Here is a 19,950-nt window from a genome sequence, read left to right as displayed (position 1 = left end):
CACGAATCCTATTGTGAACTGCACATCCGAGGGATCTAGGTTGTGCGCTCCTTATGAGAATCTAACTAATGCCTGATGATCTGAGATGGAACAGTTTCATATCCCCTCTCTCCTCCATCCGTGAAAAAAATCGTCTTCTACAAAACCAGTATCTGGTGCCAAAAGGGTTGGAAACCGCTGCCCTAAAAGCTCTGTATCACAGCTATCGTTGATCCAATTTGAAAAGAAAACAGTTTTGTGGTGGTGAGGTGCCTTGGCCTAGACTACTGGTTTTCAAACTTTTTTCTTTTTCTTTTACTTTTTTTTTTTTTTTTTTTTGAGACAGAGTCTTGCTCTGTCGCCCAGGCTGCAGTGCAGTGGCGTGGCGCTATCTCGGCTTCACTGCAAACTCCACCTCCCAGGTTCAAGCGATTCACCTGTTCTAGCGTTTGACATTTCCTTTTACGTAATTGCAACTTCTAAACTAAAGATCAGATCATACACTGGCATATTTTTCTTATTCTTGTTTTATTCATTGTTGGTACTTTTCTGATTTGATTCCTCATGAAAATAACAAACAACATTTGTGGTAGCACTTTGGAACTTAAGCCTTTTACATCGTCACATTTTATTATTTATTTATTTATTTATTTTGAGACAGAGTCTCAGTCTGTCATCCAGGCTGGAGTGCAGTGGTGCAATCTCGGCCCACCACAACCTCTGCCTCCCGGGTTCAAGCGATTCTCCTGTCTCAACCTCCCGAATAGCTGGAATTACAGGCGCCTGCCACCACAACCGGCTAATTTTATTTTTGTATTTTTAGTAGAGAACGGGTTTCACCATGTTGGCCAGGCTGATCTCGAATTCTTGACCTCAAATGATCCGCCCACCTTGGCCTCCCAAAGTGCTGGGATTATAGGTGTGAGCTACCGCGCCTGGCCTCCTTAAGATTTTTCTATGACAGAAGTAAAAGAGGAAAGAGGACACTGTAGTGGTTGGATGGTAAATGAAAGAAAAACAGAGGCCAGAATTGAAACCCTGGAATTTGAGTTTCCCTATCTGTCTTACACTAACATCACTTAATTTACCTGAGTCTTAGTATTCCTATTGCCATAATAAGAATTCTACTACCACTTCCTCTCACTACTCTCACAGAGTTGTTTTAAAGATAATGTCTATAATCCCAGCTCTTTGGGAGGCCGAAGCAGGCGGATCACCTGAGGTTGGGAGTTCAAAACCAGCCTGACCAACATGGAGAAACCCTGTCTCTACTAAAAATACAAAAAAAAAAAAAAGTAGCTAGGTGTGGTGGCAGGTGCCTGTAATCCCAGCTACTCGGGGGGCTGAGGCAGGAGAATATCTTGAACCCGGGAGGTGGAGCTTGCAGTGAGCTGAGATTGCACCATTGCACTCCAGCCTGGGTGACAGAGTGAGACTCTGTCTTGAAATAAATAAATAAATAATAAAATGTGACAATTGATGTAAAAGGCTTAACTTCCAAAGTACTACCACAAATGTTGTTTGTTATTTTCATCAGGAATCAAATCAGAAATTGTACCAACAATGCACAAAACAAGAATAACAAAAATATGCCAGTGTATGATCTGATCTTTAGTTTAAAAGCTGCAATTACGTAAAAGGAAATGCCAAACACTAAAATGAAGTTTATAAGGACCTTCAGAAGCCCAGTCATCCTCAACATGAATGTACTAATCGTTTCTTGGATAGGAAAACTGCCAATTTTTTTCCCAACTTAAATAGTAAACATCCTATTTCTTCAAGAGGCATTCTTCCATGGATGTTGAAAAAAATGATGAATAAATAACCATTTTTGTAAAATAATTTCTTGATCTGTAAACAATCTTAACAGCTTTTTGTCTTAAGCAGTGCAGTTTTCTTTTATTCACAGAACACTGAACATATTTTACCTTTAAAAATACACTTTTCTTGTGCTCACCTCTGGCTTTTGTTTGATAGTCTCTCTGAAAATACACGTTTGACTTCATTAGTAATATGTGTTCTGAACCAAGGAAATACAGAATTTACTATGCAATAAATGGCAAACAAAATATTTTAGTGGATGACTTCAGATCATTGTTACTCTTCATTAACTAATTGTAATAAAAAATAAAAGTTAAGATTGCTTCACTTTCTCACAAAAATTCTCATTGTAAGTATTTCCATATCAAGAGCAGTATTTCTAACAAATCAATATTTGTATAATATTTATATTATCTTGAATTAATTAAGTAAAGACTTTTTAAACTAAAGAAACCTGTCGAGGCCTATTGGGCTCTAATTTTATTGACATTTTCCCCATCAAATAAATGGTGTCACAGTTGAATATTTGGTATAAAAGGCAGCAAACTTCCATCTGTCGTTGGGACCATAAAGAATGGTTACATTTTCCCCCATCAATAAAACATTACTTTCGTTAGATTTGGTATTATCCTTGCTCAATGGAGTAAAATCTTTATTGATTTTTCTGTTTGTATTTATTGATTTTGAGGGAAATAACAAATTCTTATGCTGGAACATCTAGTGTTCTGCCCATTGAATAAAGTGAAGATATTCTCTGTGGTTTGCTTTTTTTATTCCTTAAATGCTTTGATAGAGAAAGAATAAGCTAGCGGTTGATGTATGAAATAGACTACTTCAATAAAATCAATCATCAGAGGCATAGAGCAGAATTGAGGTGGTAGGGTTTCATTCTCCTTTATTATTTCAATGCCTGAGCATTTCTCAGGATTTCACTTGGAGTTATGTACAAAGGTGTCTTGACTAGTGGGTATGTAATCCAAAGAACGTGTTAATATAACTTAGCATCTCCAGTAATAACACAGATATGAATTTATGGGGAATTGAGGCTCTTTAGAAGACATACACTACTGGTTAAAAGCCCATACCTTTACTACATGACTACATAGTTCAAATCTAGCTATGTCATTTACTGGCTGTGTGACATCAGAACATCCCGACCTTTCAGTGCCTCTGTTTCCTTATCATAAAAATAAAGTCTGTTATGAAGACCGAATCAATATTTTTAAAGCATTTAGAATGGTGCATGGCACAGGTTTAGAACCCTGTGTTGTGAAATTTAAAAATAAATGGAAAATGTAATGTCTGACACATGTTCCTTTGTTATTGGCAGGTGAAAATTGTGTGTCTCCATGTAGTGGTATATGGTCCACGAAAGATTCAGAAATAGTTTCTTTTTGTGACTTTGAGGACAGAACAATTGAGATGTGGAAATAAACCCTTTAACAAGATGATGAGCTCACCTGTCATTGTGACAGTATCTTCATGATACAGAGAAAACATGGAGTCTTTGAAATACACAAAATCTACCCAACTAAGTAGCCTTGAAGGAAGATAAACTGAGGCAGAAGATTAAGATGAAAGCGTTGGCCAAACACAATCTAAGAAAGAAATAGAACAAAAATCTATAGAAGATGGTGCCGATAAACAAGTAGTTTTCACAATAGAGGTTTGGTATAAACATTTGAGGGTTTAATTTTATTATTATTATTATTAGTGATCAAGGAATTTTACTAGTGTTTCTTAACGTATCTGTCATTTTCCTCAGCTTAAAGGAGAGATAAGCTATATGAAAGCGGGGCAAACACCTCTGGCAAGTGGTTGGTGGATTAGCAAAATCAGCATAATTCCATGAGCAAAAGGACTGGGGTTAGTGTAGGGGACGTGGTTGCTATCCATTCAGCACCACCGCTCTACCAGAGGAAATGAAGCAAAGACCAGGGAATCTTACAGAATTCAAACTTATTAAAATGTCTACCATGAATGGATTCCTTTGTGTTTTGCTTTTAAAGATAGAGGTAATCAAACATCAGATAGTCAACATGAGACTCTGAAAAATTGTTAAAAGTTTAACACTTCCAAAGCTCGTTTGTGTGTATTAATCTCATTTTATGTGTGTTAAAGAAGCAAGCCGTTCTATCATAACACGCATCAGGTGGATTATGACTCTCTCCTACCACTTAATGGACTCTTCAATGTCAGGGACAATGTCTCTATCACTTGTTTTTTGTTCTGAATGGACGTGTCAGATGTGGTATATTTGGATTGTACCAATTTAACTAACTGAGACTACGTGTCTCAGAATTCCATTCCCTTCATAGTTTCAGGCCATGGGAGTCATCTTGCATGACTTATGTAAGGTGGAAGTGAACCAGTAGCCATATTCTTTCCACAACAAGTCACTGTAGGGCACAAGGTGCTCAGGCGACCCACGCAGGTTGTCACTGATATACTGGCACACATTATGGATTGGCAGGTGAGCCCACTGTGCCTACACATCCTGCTGGTCTCCTCTTTCAGTTTCTATGGCTCCTGTGTTACAGAGGGAGGGTACTGTGCTGCTGGCCACCCCTGTTATGAAGTTGGAGGCTCGAAAGCCATGGGACACCAACATGGGCTTCATTTCATCTTGGTGGCTTCTAGCTAATCCTCACTGGTTTCAATATTCTATCTTCCTCCACTTCACACCACTATGTCCTTCCAATTGCCTGCCCTACAACTTTAGACTCCAGTGCCAGATACAGGGATGTCAGCTTCACATAGAATATGTGACCAACTGTGTAAAGTCAAATTTTTATGATATATATACAGTCATGTGTCACTTAACAATGAGGATATATTCTGTCAAATGCATCATTAGGCAATTTTGATGTTGTTTTAACATCATAGAGTGTATATACGCAAACCTAGATGGTATAATCTACTACACACCTAGGCTGTATGGTATAGCCTATTACTCCTAAGCTACAAGCCTGTACAGCATGTGACTGTACTGAATGCTGTACATGATTGTAACACAATGGTAAGTATTTGTGTTGTCTAAACATAGAAAATGTACAGTAAAAATATGGCTTTAAAATCTTTTGAGACCACCATCATATATGCACCCCATCGTTGAACAAATTGTCATTGTGCAGCACTTGACTATACACATCCATATGTGTATATGTATGTATATACATACATACACACAATACAGGTTGATCATAACTGTCTATATAGTATATATCTAATACATATATATCATATAGATATGTATTATATATACACACAGTTTTGGACTTCTCCTCACCTGCTACATATATTATAATATATATCTCTTTACATATTATATATATATAATATATATAATCCCAGCTACTTGAGAAGCTGAAGCAAGAGAATTGCTTGAACCTGGGAGGTGGAGGTTGCAGTGAGCTGAGATCGTGCCACTGCACTCTAGCCTGGACAATAGAGCAAGATTCCATCTCAATAATAGATAAATATGTTGTCCAAGTAGTTCTGCTTCTCTAATCAAACCTTGAGTGTTCAAACCTATTAACTGTTTGTTGAGGGAACGTGTAAATGAATGAGGGAAATATTTTTATTTTGTAGATGAAGAAACTGATGGTGGAGAATTACTTACTTTAAAATAATAATAAATGTATAATAATAGGAAGACAGCAGCTCCTGACTTTGGGCCCAGTGTTCTTTCTGCTGATCCACAAATGCCTTTTTTAGTCTACCTTACTTATCTCCTAGTATGTAGAAGAACTGAATCTTTGTAGGTGAATTTCTACTACCATCTTAAGCACTCTATCCAGGTGTGAAAAGACGTTCTGGCCACCTACTCCATAAAGATAGTGGCAGCAAGTTAATACCAATGTATAAAGCACAGGGAATGGGCAACTTCAGAAGAGGGGAGAGCCTCGACAAGCAATTGTCATGTTTTTGGTGTTAGTTGTAGTTCCATTTCTTGGAAATACCTACCTTACCTCTGAACCAAGGGTCTTTGATAAGTAGGAAAACACTAATTAGCTTCTCCTATCTCTTCTCTGCTCTCCACATGTTCAATTAAATTCTCCTCTCTCTAGAATCAGTCCCAGGTAACTGGGAAGGAGTTCAGTATTAGAATTATAGTTTCAAGTGGTTTGGGGGCCTAGAAATGGACACTAAAAACATTCTCCCATCTAAGTTACTCTCTAGGTCATACTCCTGTATTCCATTTTACCCCCTGCCACTCTGCTTTTATCTTCACACCGAAAACCCTACACTCTGAACACTGAACTTCTCACATTTCCCCAAATCTGTTAGGCTCTTTATAACTAGGCAGACAACTTTTCTTCCTTCTAGCTAAAACCTGAATACTGTATTACTTCCACAGTAAAGCTTCCCTTGATCTCCCAGGCACAGTTGTTTTTTCTGTCAGTGTCCTCCTTTGCTAGACTTTGACTTTCCCAATGTCAGGGAGCTGATGGACTAATCTTTACATGCCTAGTGACCAACAGAACGAGTCACTGCACATCAACCAAGAAGAAAGGAAAGAACATTTGTTCAATTCATGAAGCCAAAGTGTAAAAGACAACAACCTTCTGTTTACTGAGTGGCAGCATGGTCACTGAATGCTATTATTTTCATGTCTAAAATAACCAGGTCCACAATGTTGTATTAATGGCATAGCAATTATCATGGTATTACTTTGTGAATAATTAATACAGACACTTATTTACACACACACACACACACACACACACACAGAGCATGGTGACTCTTAACAAGTAACATCTCAAGGACACAATTTTGGACTTCTCCTTCTCACCTCTTAACTCTGCTCGCTCTATACCCCTGTGCTTCTGTTGCACAAGCTGCCCTAACAGAGCACAACCAAATTCCATACACAACTCGAGAAACAGTGCCCACTGTTTGCAACAGCAAAAACAGGGATGAGCTGACACAATAGTGCAGAGACACACGAACAATATTCTGCCTATAGAAATATAATGCATAAAAACTTTGCCCTGATTTCTATTGTACTTGATTCCTGCATGTGGAAAGTGCATTTTGCTTCTGTTTGGTTTTGTTTGGGTCTGTCTGTGATTTGCTTTGTTCAGTTTTTTCTCTCTGAATGTTTCTTTAGCTTTTAACTTCTAAGTGCAAATGGCCTAATCTTATCTTCAGCTCAATACTGTTATCTAATACAGTTAAATAAAATTTTAGTCATGAGGAAATGAAACCACCTCCTATTCCCATAAAGCCTAAATTTAAATGTGTGTAAATCATGTCTTAGATAATTTGTTCAAATTAGCCACTCCACGTTCTCCTTGGGCGTGAGATCGAACCACCCACAAATTGGCTCAATTCTGATCCAAATGAAAGGCAAGTTACAAAATAAAGAGCATTCTTGATATGACAATCCTGGTGCATAACTCATCATCTCTAATATTCTGGAAACTTCCCAAATTTTGGTTGCAAGTCTGGGAAGGATTTTACTTTCTCAATAAAATAAACAAATAGAACTCAATAACATATTACAAGAACACTAACAGGTCAGCTAAGAACCGAATTCATTCATCAGATATGGCTAAGTGTGTCTTGCACTTGCTGGCTGGTGAGAGCTATTAAGCCCTAGTTTAGCAGACCTCCTGTGCTGTCTTCAGTATAGGAAAATCTTGAATCGGAGATCTAGCGAACAATTTTGAGGTCCAGCCATTAGGCCAGGCACCTTGTTTTGTGAGCTTACTTTAGATTATTTTCCCGAAGTAGAGACAGAATGTCCTGAATTACCCATTGTTTGGCTCAGCCTCACATGAGATGAGGAGAGCACATAGTTGTGAAAAGACTGGCCAAGTTTGTGGGTTAGTAGATATTTTTCTGGGGCAGAGCCAACTAACTAATCAAGTAGTAACCAAACCCAGGAATTTTCCCTCACAAAATTCATCCTTTAATAGTACTTCTCAAAATTTTCCATTAAAAAAAATAAACCTTACAAAGCAGAAGATAAATGAGTACATTACCCCTATTACTACCCCAAGTCCAGGGGTATTTGAGGCTATAAGACAAATGACTGGGCCCGAGCTCAAAATATTCCACGGTCTTATGATAGTTTTTCTTTTAGTCTTAAATATAAAAATATATTTATTGTTGGATATATAGTCATACCTGCATTATGAAAATAATTTTAAAGTGTTTATCCATAAAATTACTCAGTTCTTTTACTCCCCGTCCAAATTGTTGAGTGAAATTAATACTTCTAAAAGGTATACGATGTTAATCACATGGTTTCTCAGAGATCTTGGTATGTTGCTACTACTGTAAACACAGTTATTCAGAGGTAGGACTCATACATATGAACTACATGAAAACATGGAGGAAATTATGTAACAGCCAAAATATATGATATGGATAGTGATTTTAATGGAAGAGGAAGCAATGTCATTAGAAGGTTGGACTGTCACTGTCAGTGTCTCAGAAATAACTTACTCTTTACCTCAATTTAAAAAAATCTTTTTCTCTTTAACCAAGTTGCATTACAAAAAAGCTATAGCATTAACAATGCTGTACTGCCAGATGTGGTTGCTCACGCCTGTAATCCCAGCACTTTGGGAGGCCGAAGTGGGTGGATTACTTGAGGCTAGGAGTTCGAGACCAGCCTGGCCAACATGGTGAAACCCCATCTCTACTAAAAATACAAAAAATAGCCAGGCATGGTGGTGGGTGCCTGTAATCCCAGCTACTTGGGAAGCGGAGGCAAGAGAATTGCTTGAACCTGGGAGGCGGAGGTTGCAGTGGGCCGAGATCATGCCACTGCCCTCTAGCCTAGGCAATAGAGTGAGACTCCATCTAAAAACATAAAAATAAATAATAAAATAAAAATGCTGTACTAAATTAATGGATGCTTCTATATGCAAATGATGGTATTTTTAGGCAGATCCATTTTATGAAATTTAATATTTATATGATTACTAAAGTATGATTCTTAATTTCTTTTAGAGAAATGGAAGCTTGAAACATATAATGTCTAATAACTGGATGGCAAAAGACAATCAGGATGAAGTTGGATTCTGTTATTGTGATGTTTAATTTTATATGTCAACTTGGCTAGGCTATGGTACCCAGTTGTTTGATCAAACACCTGTCTGGATATTGCTAGGAAGATACATATTAGATGTGAGGAACATTTCTCATCTGTAGACTTTGAGAAAAGCAGATTATTATCCTCCATAATGTAGGTGGGCCTTATCTAATCAGTTGCAACCCTTAAGAGCAAAAGCCAAGATTTCCTGGGAAAGGAGTTCTGCTTCAAAAATGTAACATACAAATGCCATCCAAGTTTCCTATTCTGGCATACTCTGCAGATTTGAACTCAATACTGCAATGTCAACTCTTACTAGAATTTCTACCAGCCCGCCCTACAGATTTCATACTTGCCAGCCACCATAATCGCTTGAGCCAATTCCTTAAGATCTCTCTGTGTTTTTCTCCCTCTTGCTCTCCTGTATCCTGTTTCTTCTGCTTCTCTAGAGATCCTTGACTAATAACCAAACGGTAGTAGAAAAAAAGACCATTTTAAGAGAACTGTCTGAGTTCTCTTAAGAGTGAGTTTCTGACAGTGGAAAATCGTGTAATAGAGTTCATAGTGAAAATGATATTTCAGTGTCTAAAAGTTCTGAATTCCACAAGCACACGCAGGACAATATTAACCTGCCTCAAACTTGGCTATCATCCCTCTTGCCTTCCTGGAAAAAAGTGTGATTGGTTGGTGTGCTAATTGTACGTTATGTTATGATGGTGCTGGACCATTGCATGGCTCTTAATTATTTACAGACATGCCTTTTTCTGCCAGGCTGGGGGCAGGGACCAGATCTTTGTTATCTTTGTCCCCAGACTGTCCGGTACAGTGGTACTTAATAAATGTTTATTGATTGCATGAGAACATGCCTCTGATTTAAAATGGGATACAACAAAAAATTAAAATTTACCAAAACAAGAGTGTTTTTGGTCATGTTTGCTAGAACACACATTTTTCTTAAAATAAAAAAGATAACTGAATATTTGTTTCTCAGTTAAAAGGAGAGCAAATCTTACAAAATACAATCTGAAGCCATGTAACCATTTGGAGTCTCTAAAGCTATTTTCATATAAGGAAAATAAAATTAGGAATGGAGGTGATCTTTTTGGAACATGTTAAGGTAAAAATCACCTTTTTTTTATGCGGAGTTGTTGGATAAATCTAATTTGGGACTGTTTTTTCCCCAGATGATTGACTTTTTAAAATTTTCTTATACACCTGTCAGCAGTTTCAGATCTAGTTTTAGGAGGGGGAGAATGTGGAGCCATGGCAACTGGGAAAAGTTGCATTTAATAGTGAGAAGCCTCTATTAGAATGTTATGTTTTGCATCCAGATCCTTGATTTCAGAGTAGAACTTTCTGGAACAAGGTGAGGAAAAAAATCTGATCCTATCTTTTTCATTTAAAAGCAGCTATACAAAAAAATAAAGTCATCCACCCCTTGTGTTTAACAGAGTGAAATAACTACAAAGCCTAGGGTCCATAGGCCCTAAAGCATGATGATAAAAATAGTTCTCCTCCCAGTCTGCAGAAGCTAACCAGCTAAGAAAGCAAAATGTAACTGTCTTTGTATAGGAAAGCATTCTTCATGCAATGCATTTCAGATAAACTATCTTTTTTTTTTTTCTGAATCTGGGCCCTTGGGCCTGAAAAATTTAACCAAGAACCAGCTATTTGAGTTTACTTTCATTTCCCATAGACATCTCAGAAGATGAGCCCTTATTACCATGGTTTCCAGCAAAGGGGCCATTTGGAGATGCCAAAGCTGATGGATGGACTCACTAAAATGCAAGAAAAAACAAACAAACAAAAAAAAAAAACACAGCCTAACCAGGAAAGAGGCATTTGGAGAAAGACTTCTAATTCTGTTTACTGTCCATGAAATCTACTTTTACTTAGATTTCTTAATTTCCTGTCTCTTGACAACATCTGGTTTGAGCTACAGAGGGCCTGGCTTCTGTGTTGAGATTTGTGTTTCCCTTACAAGTTTCATGTTGGTGAGCATATTGTTAGCCTCAGCACAGCCTTGATGTTCAGAAACCTTTTTATTTACTCCATTGGGTACACTGGAGGAGCCTAACTTCATTTGCTCTCATGCTTATGCTAATTCTGCTCATTCTCACATCTATATTTTGTTCACTTGTATCATCAGCCTGTCATCCGCAATACTCCTCACTGTCTCTCCACTTATCTAAATCTACGCTTCCCATGGTCTTTTCTAACATCTCAAAAACCTTCTCTGACACTTGTAGCTTGCAGAATCGTATCTGTCTTGGTAAATATTATGGCACATCTACAGGACCTCATGTATTCCCTGCTACTCCCACTCCTGCAATTTTGCTTCAGCCACACTGGCCTCTTTGCTGTTTTGTTAACTCGCCAGGCACACCTCAGCCTTAGGGCTGTTCCATCTGCCTGAACTGCTCTTCTCCAAGGATTCTACGTTGCTCACTTCCTTGCCACCTCCAGGTCTTTGGCTAAATATCACCCCCTTAGTGAAGACTTCTTTGACAGTTCCATTTATAAATGGAAAATGGTGGGAGGTAGCTTTGAAGATGGCTCCCAATGATCTTCTTATGCTGGAACTCAAGTTCTTGTATGAGGACAAGTGGTAGGTTTTACTAATTTAACAAAGAAAATACCTGTATTATTTCGGTGCCAAATATTTACTTTCAATGCCCTTTATATATTTTGCCTCAAACTATACTTTTTTTCCATTTCTAATTTTCAATTAATTTATATCCAGGTCTTAGCTTGTACTCACCACTAATCTATATAATAGAAGAAACATATATTTTTCAATATCCTTGAAGACTCTTGTTCTCTCTCATGCTGAAATTCTTGTTGAGAAAAATGCATTAAAATAGAATATTGAATTCCTCTCCCAAAGCAGTCTTTTCTTGCAGTTTCAAAGGTTGTCAGTCTTGTTGTATATGAGACTAATAATCTTAGATTTATCACAATTATCGTGTTCTAAAAATAAACAAGCAGGATTACATCTCTAAGTTACTCAGGCTCTCTTTCTCTTTCTCTCTCTTTTGATTTGAATTGAACTCTGGACCTTGTTCACTTTTAAATTCTTTTTGGCTGAATTTCAGGAATTCCTTAAATGTATTCTGCAAAACAGCTGTGGTTTGGGTACTTCATGTTCCTTTATTGGTTAAAATCTGACATAAAGAGTGGCTAGTCTACATTTCCCATACTAAAGTAACAAAGGTGCATTCATACATTTTTTTCTTCTTCAGGATCTGGCTCTTACTAGCCATAAGAGTAATATTTAGCAGAAATACTCCAATACTCTTTTTCTAAAGACCATTCAGTCCATGTAATACACATGATCAAAATTCATCTGGCTTATAGAAATGTTATTGTTTACTACCTAAATATACCAACAAGGAAAACTGTTCAATTATATATGTCAGAGAATTCGTGGCATCCAGAGAGCAAAGTTTTACAAGCTCACACTTTTCTGACTAAATACTCAAAACAAAATTTTAAGATTTTTAAATGATAAGAAAAAAAAAAAAGCTTTAGAGGGATTAAGGTGAAAACAAAAGGAGAAAATTCTTCACTTTCAATTTATGTTAAAATAAATCTAGAAAAAATAGATCTCTTATTTCCTTTCAATGATTATAGACAACTATAAAAAAAAGTTAACGTGTATTTTCTCTGAGCTTTTTAAGAGGGGGGTATAAAATACATATTTTTCAATATTTGCAATTATATGTTCATAAGTGCATACAGGATGCAAAAATCTGGTTTTGAAAGACATTGCAGAATACTCCATGTGGTATGAATATAATAAAGCCACTTTTAGACATTTACAAATATAATAGCAGGCAAGGGCTGTTTAACAGACTCTGTAAACACCAATGTGAGACTACTTTTAACCAAAGCTTCAAAATAACTTAAGGAATATGACACACTGTTTGATTCCTACTTAAAGCACTTGGATAAAAAATTAAATTATCTTAATTGCATTTAATTGATCATTAATATTTACGTTTGCTGGAAACAGAGTGTTGCTGCTCCCCAAACACAGATGCCAGCAAGAGCAAAACATAGGCTGAATGACATTGTATCCATAGCAATAATAGCACTTACCTTTATTCACTCTCCCCACAGAGAATCTATGAGCTAGGTGCTTTCAGCTGGGCAATGGTAGAGAATGCTCTTTAGTTAATAATAAAGGAAAGAAAAGCTCCAGACACCAAGAACCTGGGTTAACCATTGACACCGGTTTGTTCCTACAGTTCCTCCCTGGGAATCTACATAGGTAGCCCCTGGCGTCTTATCAAGCAAGCCATAGCCAGTCAGCTGTGGCAGTGATTACGTCACCACCTCTGTACCTCTGGAGGAGGTACAGTGTGAAGGTCACCCAAGTATATCCTGACTAAGTTTTTACTTGATCAGGGATACAAAGGAGGAAGATTTGCTGGGCCAGAACTATGCTCAACAATGCCTGTAAGTGACTCAAATATTTACAGACAGGATTGTTGAGAGACGACCTATGGAAATGCTCCTGCTAGTTTTCAGACTCTGTTGGAATAGTACAAATAAATCCCTTTCATCAGAACTCTTTGTCTACATCTTAACAGCTGAGGATTGGGATTGCATGCTGACGAAAAGCGAGACAGGATAATGACAGGTAGCTAAGCATCCATTCAGTCTTTTATTTACCAAACCTTTAATGATTATTTTTCCTGTGCTGCCTAGTTCCAAAGAACATGAGTTCACAGTTGATTAGCCCTCTGACTAATCAACATGGATGGCAGAAATTGGGGTTGGAAAGTCTTCCTTTCCTCAACCCCAGGAATCAGAGCTCGAGCCTGAGATGGTGAATACAATGCAGGCTGTGGTATAGGTTTTGCCTGGCATTGAGTCCTAATGGGTTAAATAAAATGGTGAGGTGATCCCGTGGTCAGTGCTCTCCAGGAGGTAGAAAAGTGAGTGATCAGGGAAGAGGTAGACTTATAATGCTAGAATCAAGAGAAAGATCCAGAAAATGTGAAAAGCAGCCATGGGGAACTAAACAAATAGCAACCCTAGGCTCTTCAGAACCTGGGGGAGTTGTGTCCAGGAATGCTCAATAGAAGTGTTATGCTAGCAAGGAATTAGTTTTTCCTTTGCTTCACAGAGCGGTGGCAGCCAGGGGATCTAGGGAACCACATCAGGCTTGGTTAACACTGCAAATTTAAGAGGCCTTTTCTAGGTTCTGACAATCGTTGCTGTTTGACGGTTGTTAGAGTTTTGTTTCCATTTTTAAAAGCATGAACACTTGAGGAAGTGGACTTCTATGTTGGCACCGCCACTTACTAGCTGTGTGACACTGAGAAACTGCTTAACCTTTCTGCAACTCCATTTTCTCAACTGTCAAATGGGGATGATAATAGCAACAACGACAACACCTACCACAGATAGATAATTCGTGTTCCAAACTCATAGCTGTCACTAAGGTATACATATTCTGATAGGAAGACCTATTTTGCAATCTGTTACACAATATCTGCAGAAGAGTTTGAACTCTCCAAGGGACCTATCTTTTCATTCATCCATAAATCTCAGGTAAGCAGTGAATGCAGAGGTTGCCTTTTCTGTTAAAAAAAAAAATTGAAGACTAAACAAATGCCTACATTTCCATAACAATTGCAGCAACTCTCATTGTGGTTTATCCATGATGTTGTTCAATATTATCACTTAATGCTGCTCAATTACTGCCTTGTTTGAAAGCAGAGCACACTTTGTTAGAGTTCTATCTCAAAAGACTTAAAAAAAACACACACGCAAAAATGGACAGGACTCCATCTGCTCTGCAAATACAATTTCAGGAAAGGTGATTTTATGTGGGTGAGCATTTAGATTGATCTGAGAAGACGAGGCATCTAAACACAGCGTAAAAACAGACCATGGAGAAGAGCAAGACGGGAGGCAAGATGGGGAAACTAGATGGATTCCCAACTCCAGCTGAGTCAGATCGCCATTGCGTGGCTTCATTCCTTTGTTTGAAGTAAATTCCCAGAATATCAGACACACCCATACTCACATGTAAGTAGAAAAACACTTTCTAAAGCCAAATAAATAAAAATGATATCTGGATTGGCTTTTCTGTTACATGTCTCTGCCTCCTCAGTCTACCTTAACTGATAATTAACTTCATTGAAGTTCAACTTTTGTGAACTTTAATCCTCCCCCAAACAGAAAGACAAACTGAGGCAAGTTGAGGAGGCATGTTCAAGATTTGTCAAATTACAAGAATTTGTTACTTGAATGTAAGTGATAAATAATTATCTCTTTCAAAAATCTGTAATGTATTGCTGTTCTGTGATTTTAGTATTGGCCTAAGAGGAAGTTACATTGTACAAAGGGGTTACTTGTTAGAGAGAACACTCTAGCTCCGTCACTGGAAGACTGTGGCTTGCTTCCAGTTTTTGTAAGGACTCCCAGCTAAGAATGGTTTTTACAATGATAAATAGCGGGGGAAAAGTAAAAGAAAACTAATATTTGTGACATGAAAATGATGTGAAATTCACATTTCTATGTCTGTAAATCATGTTTATTGGTAAATATGCCTATCCCTATTTTTTTACTTACTGTCAATGAAGGCATCATATTACACAACAGAATTCAGTGACCTTCAAGACCTCAACAGAGACTGTGGTCCTTAAAGCCTAAAATATTTTGTATCTGGCCCTTTACAGAAAAAAAAAACAAAAACAAAACTAGCTAAGCCGTAAAATTTACTCTTCTCCAAAAGTAATGTTCCTCTTTTCTGATTAATGATTTTCCTCTCACGGTTAAGTCCAAGTCAACTGCATTTCTATGACTTAAAATCCTATCTTTCCTTCAATATTCCTTTTACTAAGTCTTTCCTTGCCTACTATAAATATCAATAAATAGTTTATTTCAAAATTAATAATAATAAAAGAATAATACTCTTTAAAGGCACGATGTTTTTCAATCTATATATTTTAGCTTTTAGTTGCATGTCTTATTTCCTCTACTAAATTCTAAATATTTGTGGTTAGGAACTTACTGAATCTTACTCATCTTTTTTTTTTTAATTTTTAATTTTTGTGTGTTTTCAGATGGGGTTTTCCTATGTTGTCCAGGCTGGTCTCAAACTCCTGGACTCAGGCAATCCTCCCGCCTCAGCCTCCGAAGTAGCTGGGACTATAGGCATGTGTCATTGTGCTTGACTCCCTCATTCATCTTTGAGTCCAACCAAGTGACTAACAGAAAGCTAGAATTCAGTACTGATACTAATACTAATACTGAGGGATGAATGCTTTTCTGAATTAAGCAAACAAGCATATTAGGAAAATAAAACTGTTTGTCTTTTAAAGGTTTCTTTACCTTTTTCTTCAGTTTACTTTCTTAATGAGCTTCCCTATCACTGTCCATCGTCCATCTCTCCTGAGTCGCAAGACCCTCTTGCTGCCCAGATACTGCAGCATTACTAGGTTGTGCCTGAGTTGTCCTCTCGCTTCATAATCCCAGTTCTCAAAATGTTCCTCTGAAGTGTCTCAATCACTTGAAGAGCTCAGTGTGTTTTATTGTGTTTGAAACCCTCCAGACTATATGGAATCAGAGGCAGAAGGAAAAGGGGGGAAAAGAGCCAACTTGAATTTTCTTCCTCAAGGAGCAATTTTCTTAAGATTGAAATGAAAATTCCCACTCAGCATTTTCCTAAGATGATGCACTGCACTTCAACAATTATTTAAATAAAATGGATGAAATTGGCTGTCTCATTTGAATGAATCTGATACATTGAATCATGCTAATAGATGAAAAACTACATTATCTCTCCCAGAGTGGGGAAAATGGAAAGAACACCTTAAAAAAATCTTTCCTGGATGTTAAAGTTATATAGGTTTATTGTAGATACTATGAATAAGAGTGCAAAGAGGGCAATAAAAAATAATCACAAGTCTCAATTTTCTTTGGTCAAATTATTTCCAGTCATTTTCTCTACTGTCTTAAGATAAAGTTGAGATTCGGTCAGATTTACAATTTTGAATCTTGCTTTTTAACCTTAGTCAAGGAGCTCTTGTCTGAATGCAAAGGAATGCATTTCTAACCATGGAATTCCCAACATTGCAGGAGATTTGAGTGAAGCAGATCTTTTAGAGCATGTGTACTGGCTTTTTAGTACTCCAATCACAGCCGCGTTGACTGATATGATCTACGCTATGTTATGGGGATTACTTGAAACCATACCTTGAGAGAGCTTTATAAACTATCATGTATCCACCAGATGTGACCCAACATTTGAAGGGCATCCTCAAGCATTAGGTAAATTCTATTCTTCTGCAAGAAGTGCTTGTAAATTGAAAAGTTATCCTTCTCAAAAAAAAAAATGCTTTCCAGGGGAAGAGTAATTGCATCAAAGATAATTGATTTCATTTCAAAACATGCCCTCATTTTAAAGACTAGTTTGCTCTTATTAATTCTTTTTCTATCCAAGGAGAGATTTCAAATAATTACTTGGATACTTCAAGCCCCAAACTCCTAACTGGCTTCATTACCACATTGATTATGTTATTGGGAGATATTTGAAGGAGATTAATCTGCCTTTATCATGTCCTCAGTTCTTCACTTTTCATAGGAAACATAATCCTTTTCTTCCCAACTTGTGCTCTTTCAAACCTCAGGAATGAATTGCAAAAATGAATGTCCTTATTGCCTCACTCCCTTCCAAGATAGCTTTTTCTGATGCTTTCCTTCCCCCTAAAATAAGAATTAAAAGTGATATTTCTTTTGACAGCTGGTAACTAATCCCACCTTAGCAGGAAGGAGAACAGGAAGCCAGCAGAGGAATTTTCCATTCCTGTCTCTTTTAATTTTTCCCCACATCAGGTATTTTTCAAAATCTAGACATTTCCAATGAGTCTGTATATCTTCTTGTTTTGTCTACCAGAGTCACGTGTTCTTTAACTTCTGCGCTGATGAGAAACCTGACTGAGTTTATGTTTGTATTTGGAGGAGGGAGAAATTGAGAACTTTTGAATCTCCAAAGGGCATATAATTGAAATGTGATGCCTTTGCTTATGCAAACGGGCTTTTTTCCTTTTGTAAAGATAAAGTTCACACAGCTAGTCCATCAAACCACAAATCAGAATGTCTCATGTTGTAACAAGAGCTACAACTTTGACTCCTACAAAAAGTCTCTTTTGGCCTGCCTGGCTGCCTTTCTCTATTCCTTTCCCTTCTCTCTCCCTCCCTTTTTTTTTCTCCCTCTCATTCCTTCCTTTTTGTCTTCTGTTTAATTTAAGGACTCTGTATTTTACTATCTACTCCAAGCCCTCCAAAATGCATATAAGGTGCAGAAGATAAAGAAAAAATAATTAACTCAAATTTGTTTCTCCAAGGAGCAATTCAGTTCAGCATTTTCAAAAAAACAATGTATTCAAAATTTTAATGAGGATTTTTTTAAATGAAGAAATTAGCTTTCTGGAGCTAATGGCTTGCACAAAAAGTGACCAAAAGGTATTTATGTAACTTGATGTCATTTCAAATTAAATAATGTATCTAAGATGATGTCTATTGTAACATGGTAAGTTACATATACTAATGACATCTCTCTAAAACTGAAGTAGACTTTTTCTGAAATGTGTATCTGGCCCATATATGGCACATATTTGCCTGGAAGACAGTAGGTGAGAGGGGAGGGGTGGAGAAGTAAGGAGTAAGTTAGAAGGAGTAAGTTAATGAGTGCTGGAAATAGCTGGTAGAGGGAGAGCTAAGCAGAAGGAAATGGAATAAAACGCCCTTATGTTATTTAATAGCTGACAAAAGTAAGCAAAAGAGGAGAAACAGGGAGTCACAGAGAGTTCTGAGTTTTCTTTATCTGAGTATGCAGGGGTACTTATTCTGAAGATTTTTCACTTCTTGAGAAGGAAATTCTTCAATGGCATCAATTAGGTAGAAGCAGCCAAGTATAGGGGCAACATCACTAGAGAAAAATCAGAAAATGGGATTCTACTGCGAACAGAACTAACCAGATGTGTGACCCTTGTCAAGACACTATTTCTTTGGATCTTAGTTTTCTAGTGTGCAAAATAAAATGGTTGGATGCCCTCTATTATCTCTTCTAGATGTACAGTTGTTTTCTTTCTTTTCTGCATATTACAACGAAACGAAACTACATAAATAAGGACATAGATTTTGTCTTATTTTTCTTCCACACCGAATACTCAAAGTTTGGCACAGGTCTCAGCCCATAACATGTGATCAATAAATATATATTTAAGGAATGAATGAATCTATGTAGGATGTTATATTTATACAAAGGCAAAAAGACTGATACATTGTTTCTTTTTTAAAAAGATTAATATGGCCATTTGAATATTTAGCATAGGTGGTTGAATTGGATTCATGTAGACATAGTCTATTTGACACCAAAAAAACATAGTCACGCTTACATAGTCTTATAATTTCATTTGCTATTGCCCAAATATAAGTGTTCTCATTAATTATTACTCTTCAAAATGGAACAGTTGGGTACATTTTTGTACATCTTCATCTCATTGTCATCTATACAGGTTGCTAATATTACATTGATTAAAATATAGATCTAGGTAGGCTAAAATGAAGAGAGTTACTGTTCAGATTTTACAAGCTCAGAAATCCTGAATTTGGTTTTGAATTTGTATAGTGCTGCATGGAGATAAAATACAACTTCAATTTTCTTTTTTTCTTTCATTTTTTTTTCTTAGCCCCCAACAAATTGACTGGCTATATTTATAATGCTCAGTTGTTTCAATATCTTGTAAACCACAATCCAACTTAGGAAAGAACATACTTCATGTTTTAACTATTTACTTTGATTTATACGTGAGACAAAAAAATGAATGAGCCAAATTTAACAAAATTGTGTAGACCACTGCATACAATTATTCTAGAGAATTAATTTATTTTGCATTTATGGTTTCCTTTATCCTAATCTCTGCATTTCAAAAAACATAATACACTCTGTCACACACATGAACACACACATACACACACACACCTCACACACTACTATTTCAGATATATGCATACTAGGATTGGTAGAAAGATAAGAGGTTAGGTACATGTACCTTTAATTCACATTAAAACATTAAAAT

General features: G+C 36.9%; 1 protein-coding gene and 1 long non-coding RNA gene across 19 annotated transcripts in view; one reads left to right on the top strand and one right to left on the bottom strand.

Moving 5' to 3' along the window:
- The window catches only part of KCNJ16 (potassium inwardly rectifying channel subfamily J member 16), a 60,384-nt gene extending 47,269 nt beyond the window's left edge, over window positions 1-13,115 (bottom strand). For all 18 annotated transcript variants that reach the window (XM_017024609.2, XM_047435953.1, XM_047435952.1 and 15 more), the window contains exon 1: window positions 12,950-13,115. The gene's annotated coding sequence lies outside the window, so the exon portion shown is untranslated. The remainder of the gene's footprint in view (window positions 1-12,949) is intronic.
- Window positions 13,116-13,532: 417 nt separating this feature from the next.
- The window catches only part of LOC105371881 (uncharacterized), a 78,916-nt gene continuing 72,498 nt past the window's right edge, over window positions 13,533-19,950 (top strand). The window contains exon 1 of the long non-coding RNA XR_934952.3: window positions 13,533-15,114. This is a non-coding gene — a long non-coding RNA (uncharacterized LOC105371881). The remainder of the gene's footprint in view (window positions 15,115-19,950) is intronic.

This window comes from Homo sapiens, chromosome 17 (genome assembly GCF_000001405.40).
Source record: "Homo sapiens chromosome 17, GRCh38.p14 Primary Assembly".
In the NCBI taxonomy this organism is placed as follows: domain Eukaryota; kingdom Metazoa; phylum Chordata; class Mammalia; order Primates; family Hominidae; genus Homo; species Homo sapiens.
The sequence above is the reverse complement of the archived record's forward strand: the minus strand, read 5'-3'. Positions and strand labels throughout refer to the sequence as shown.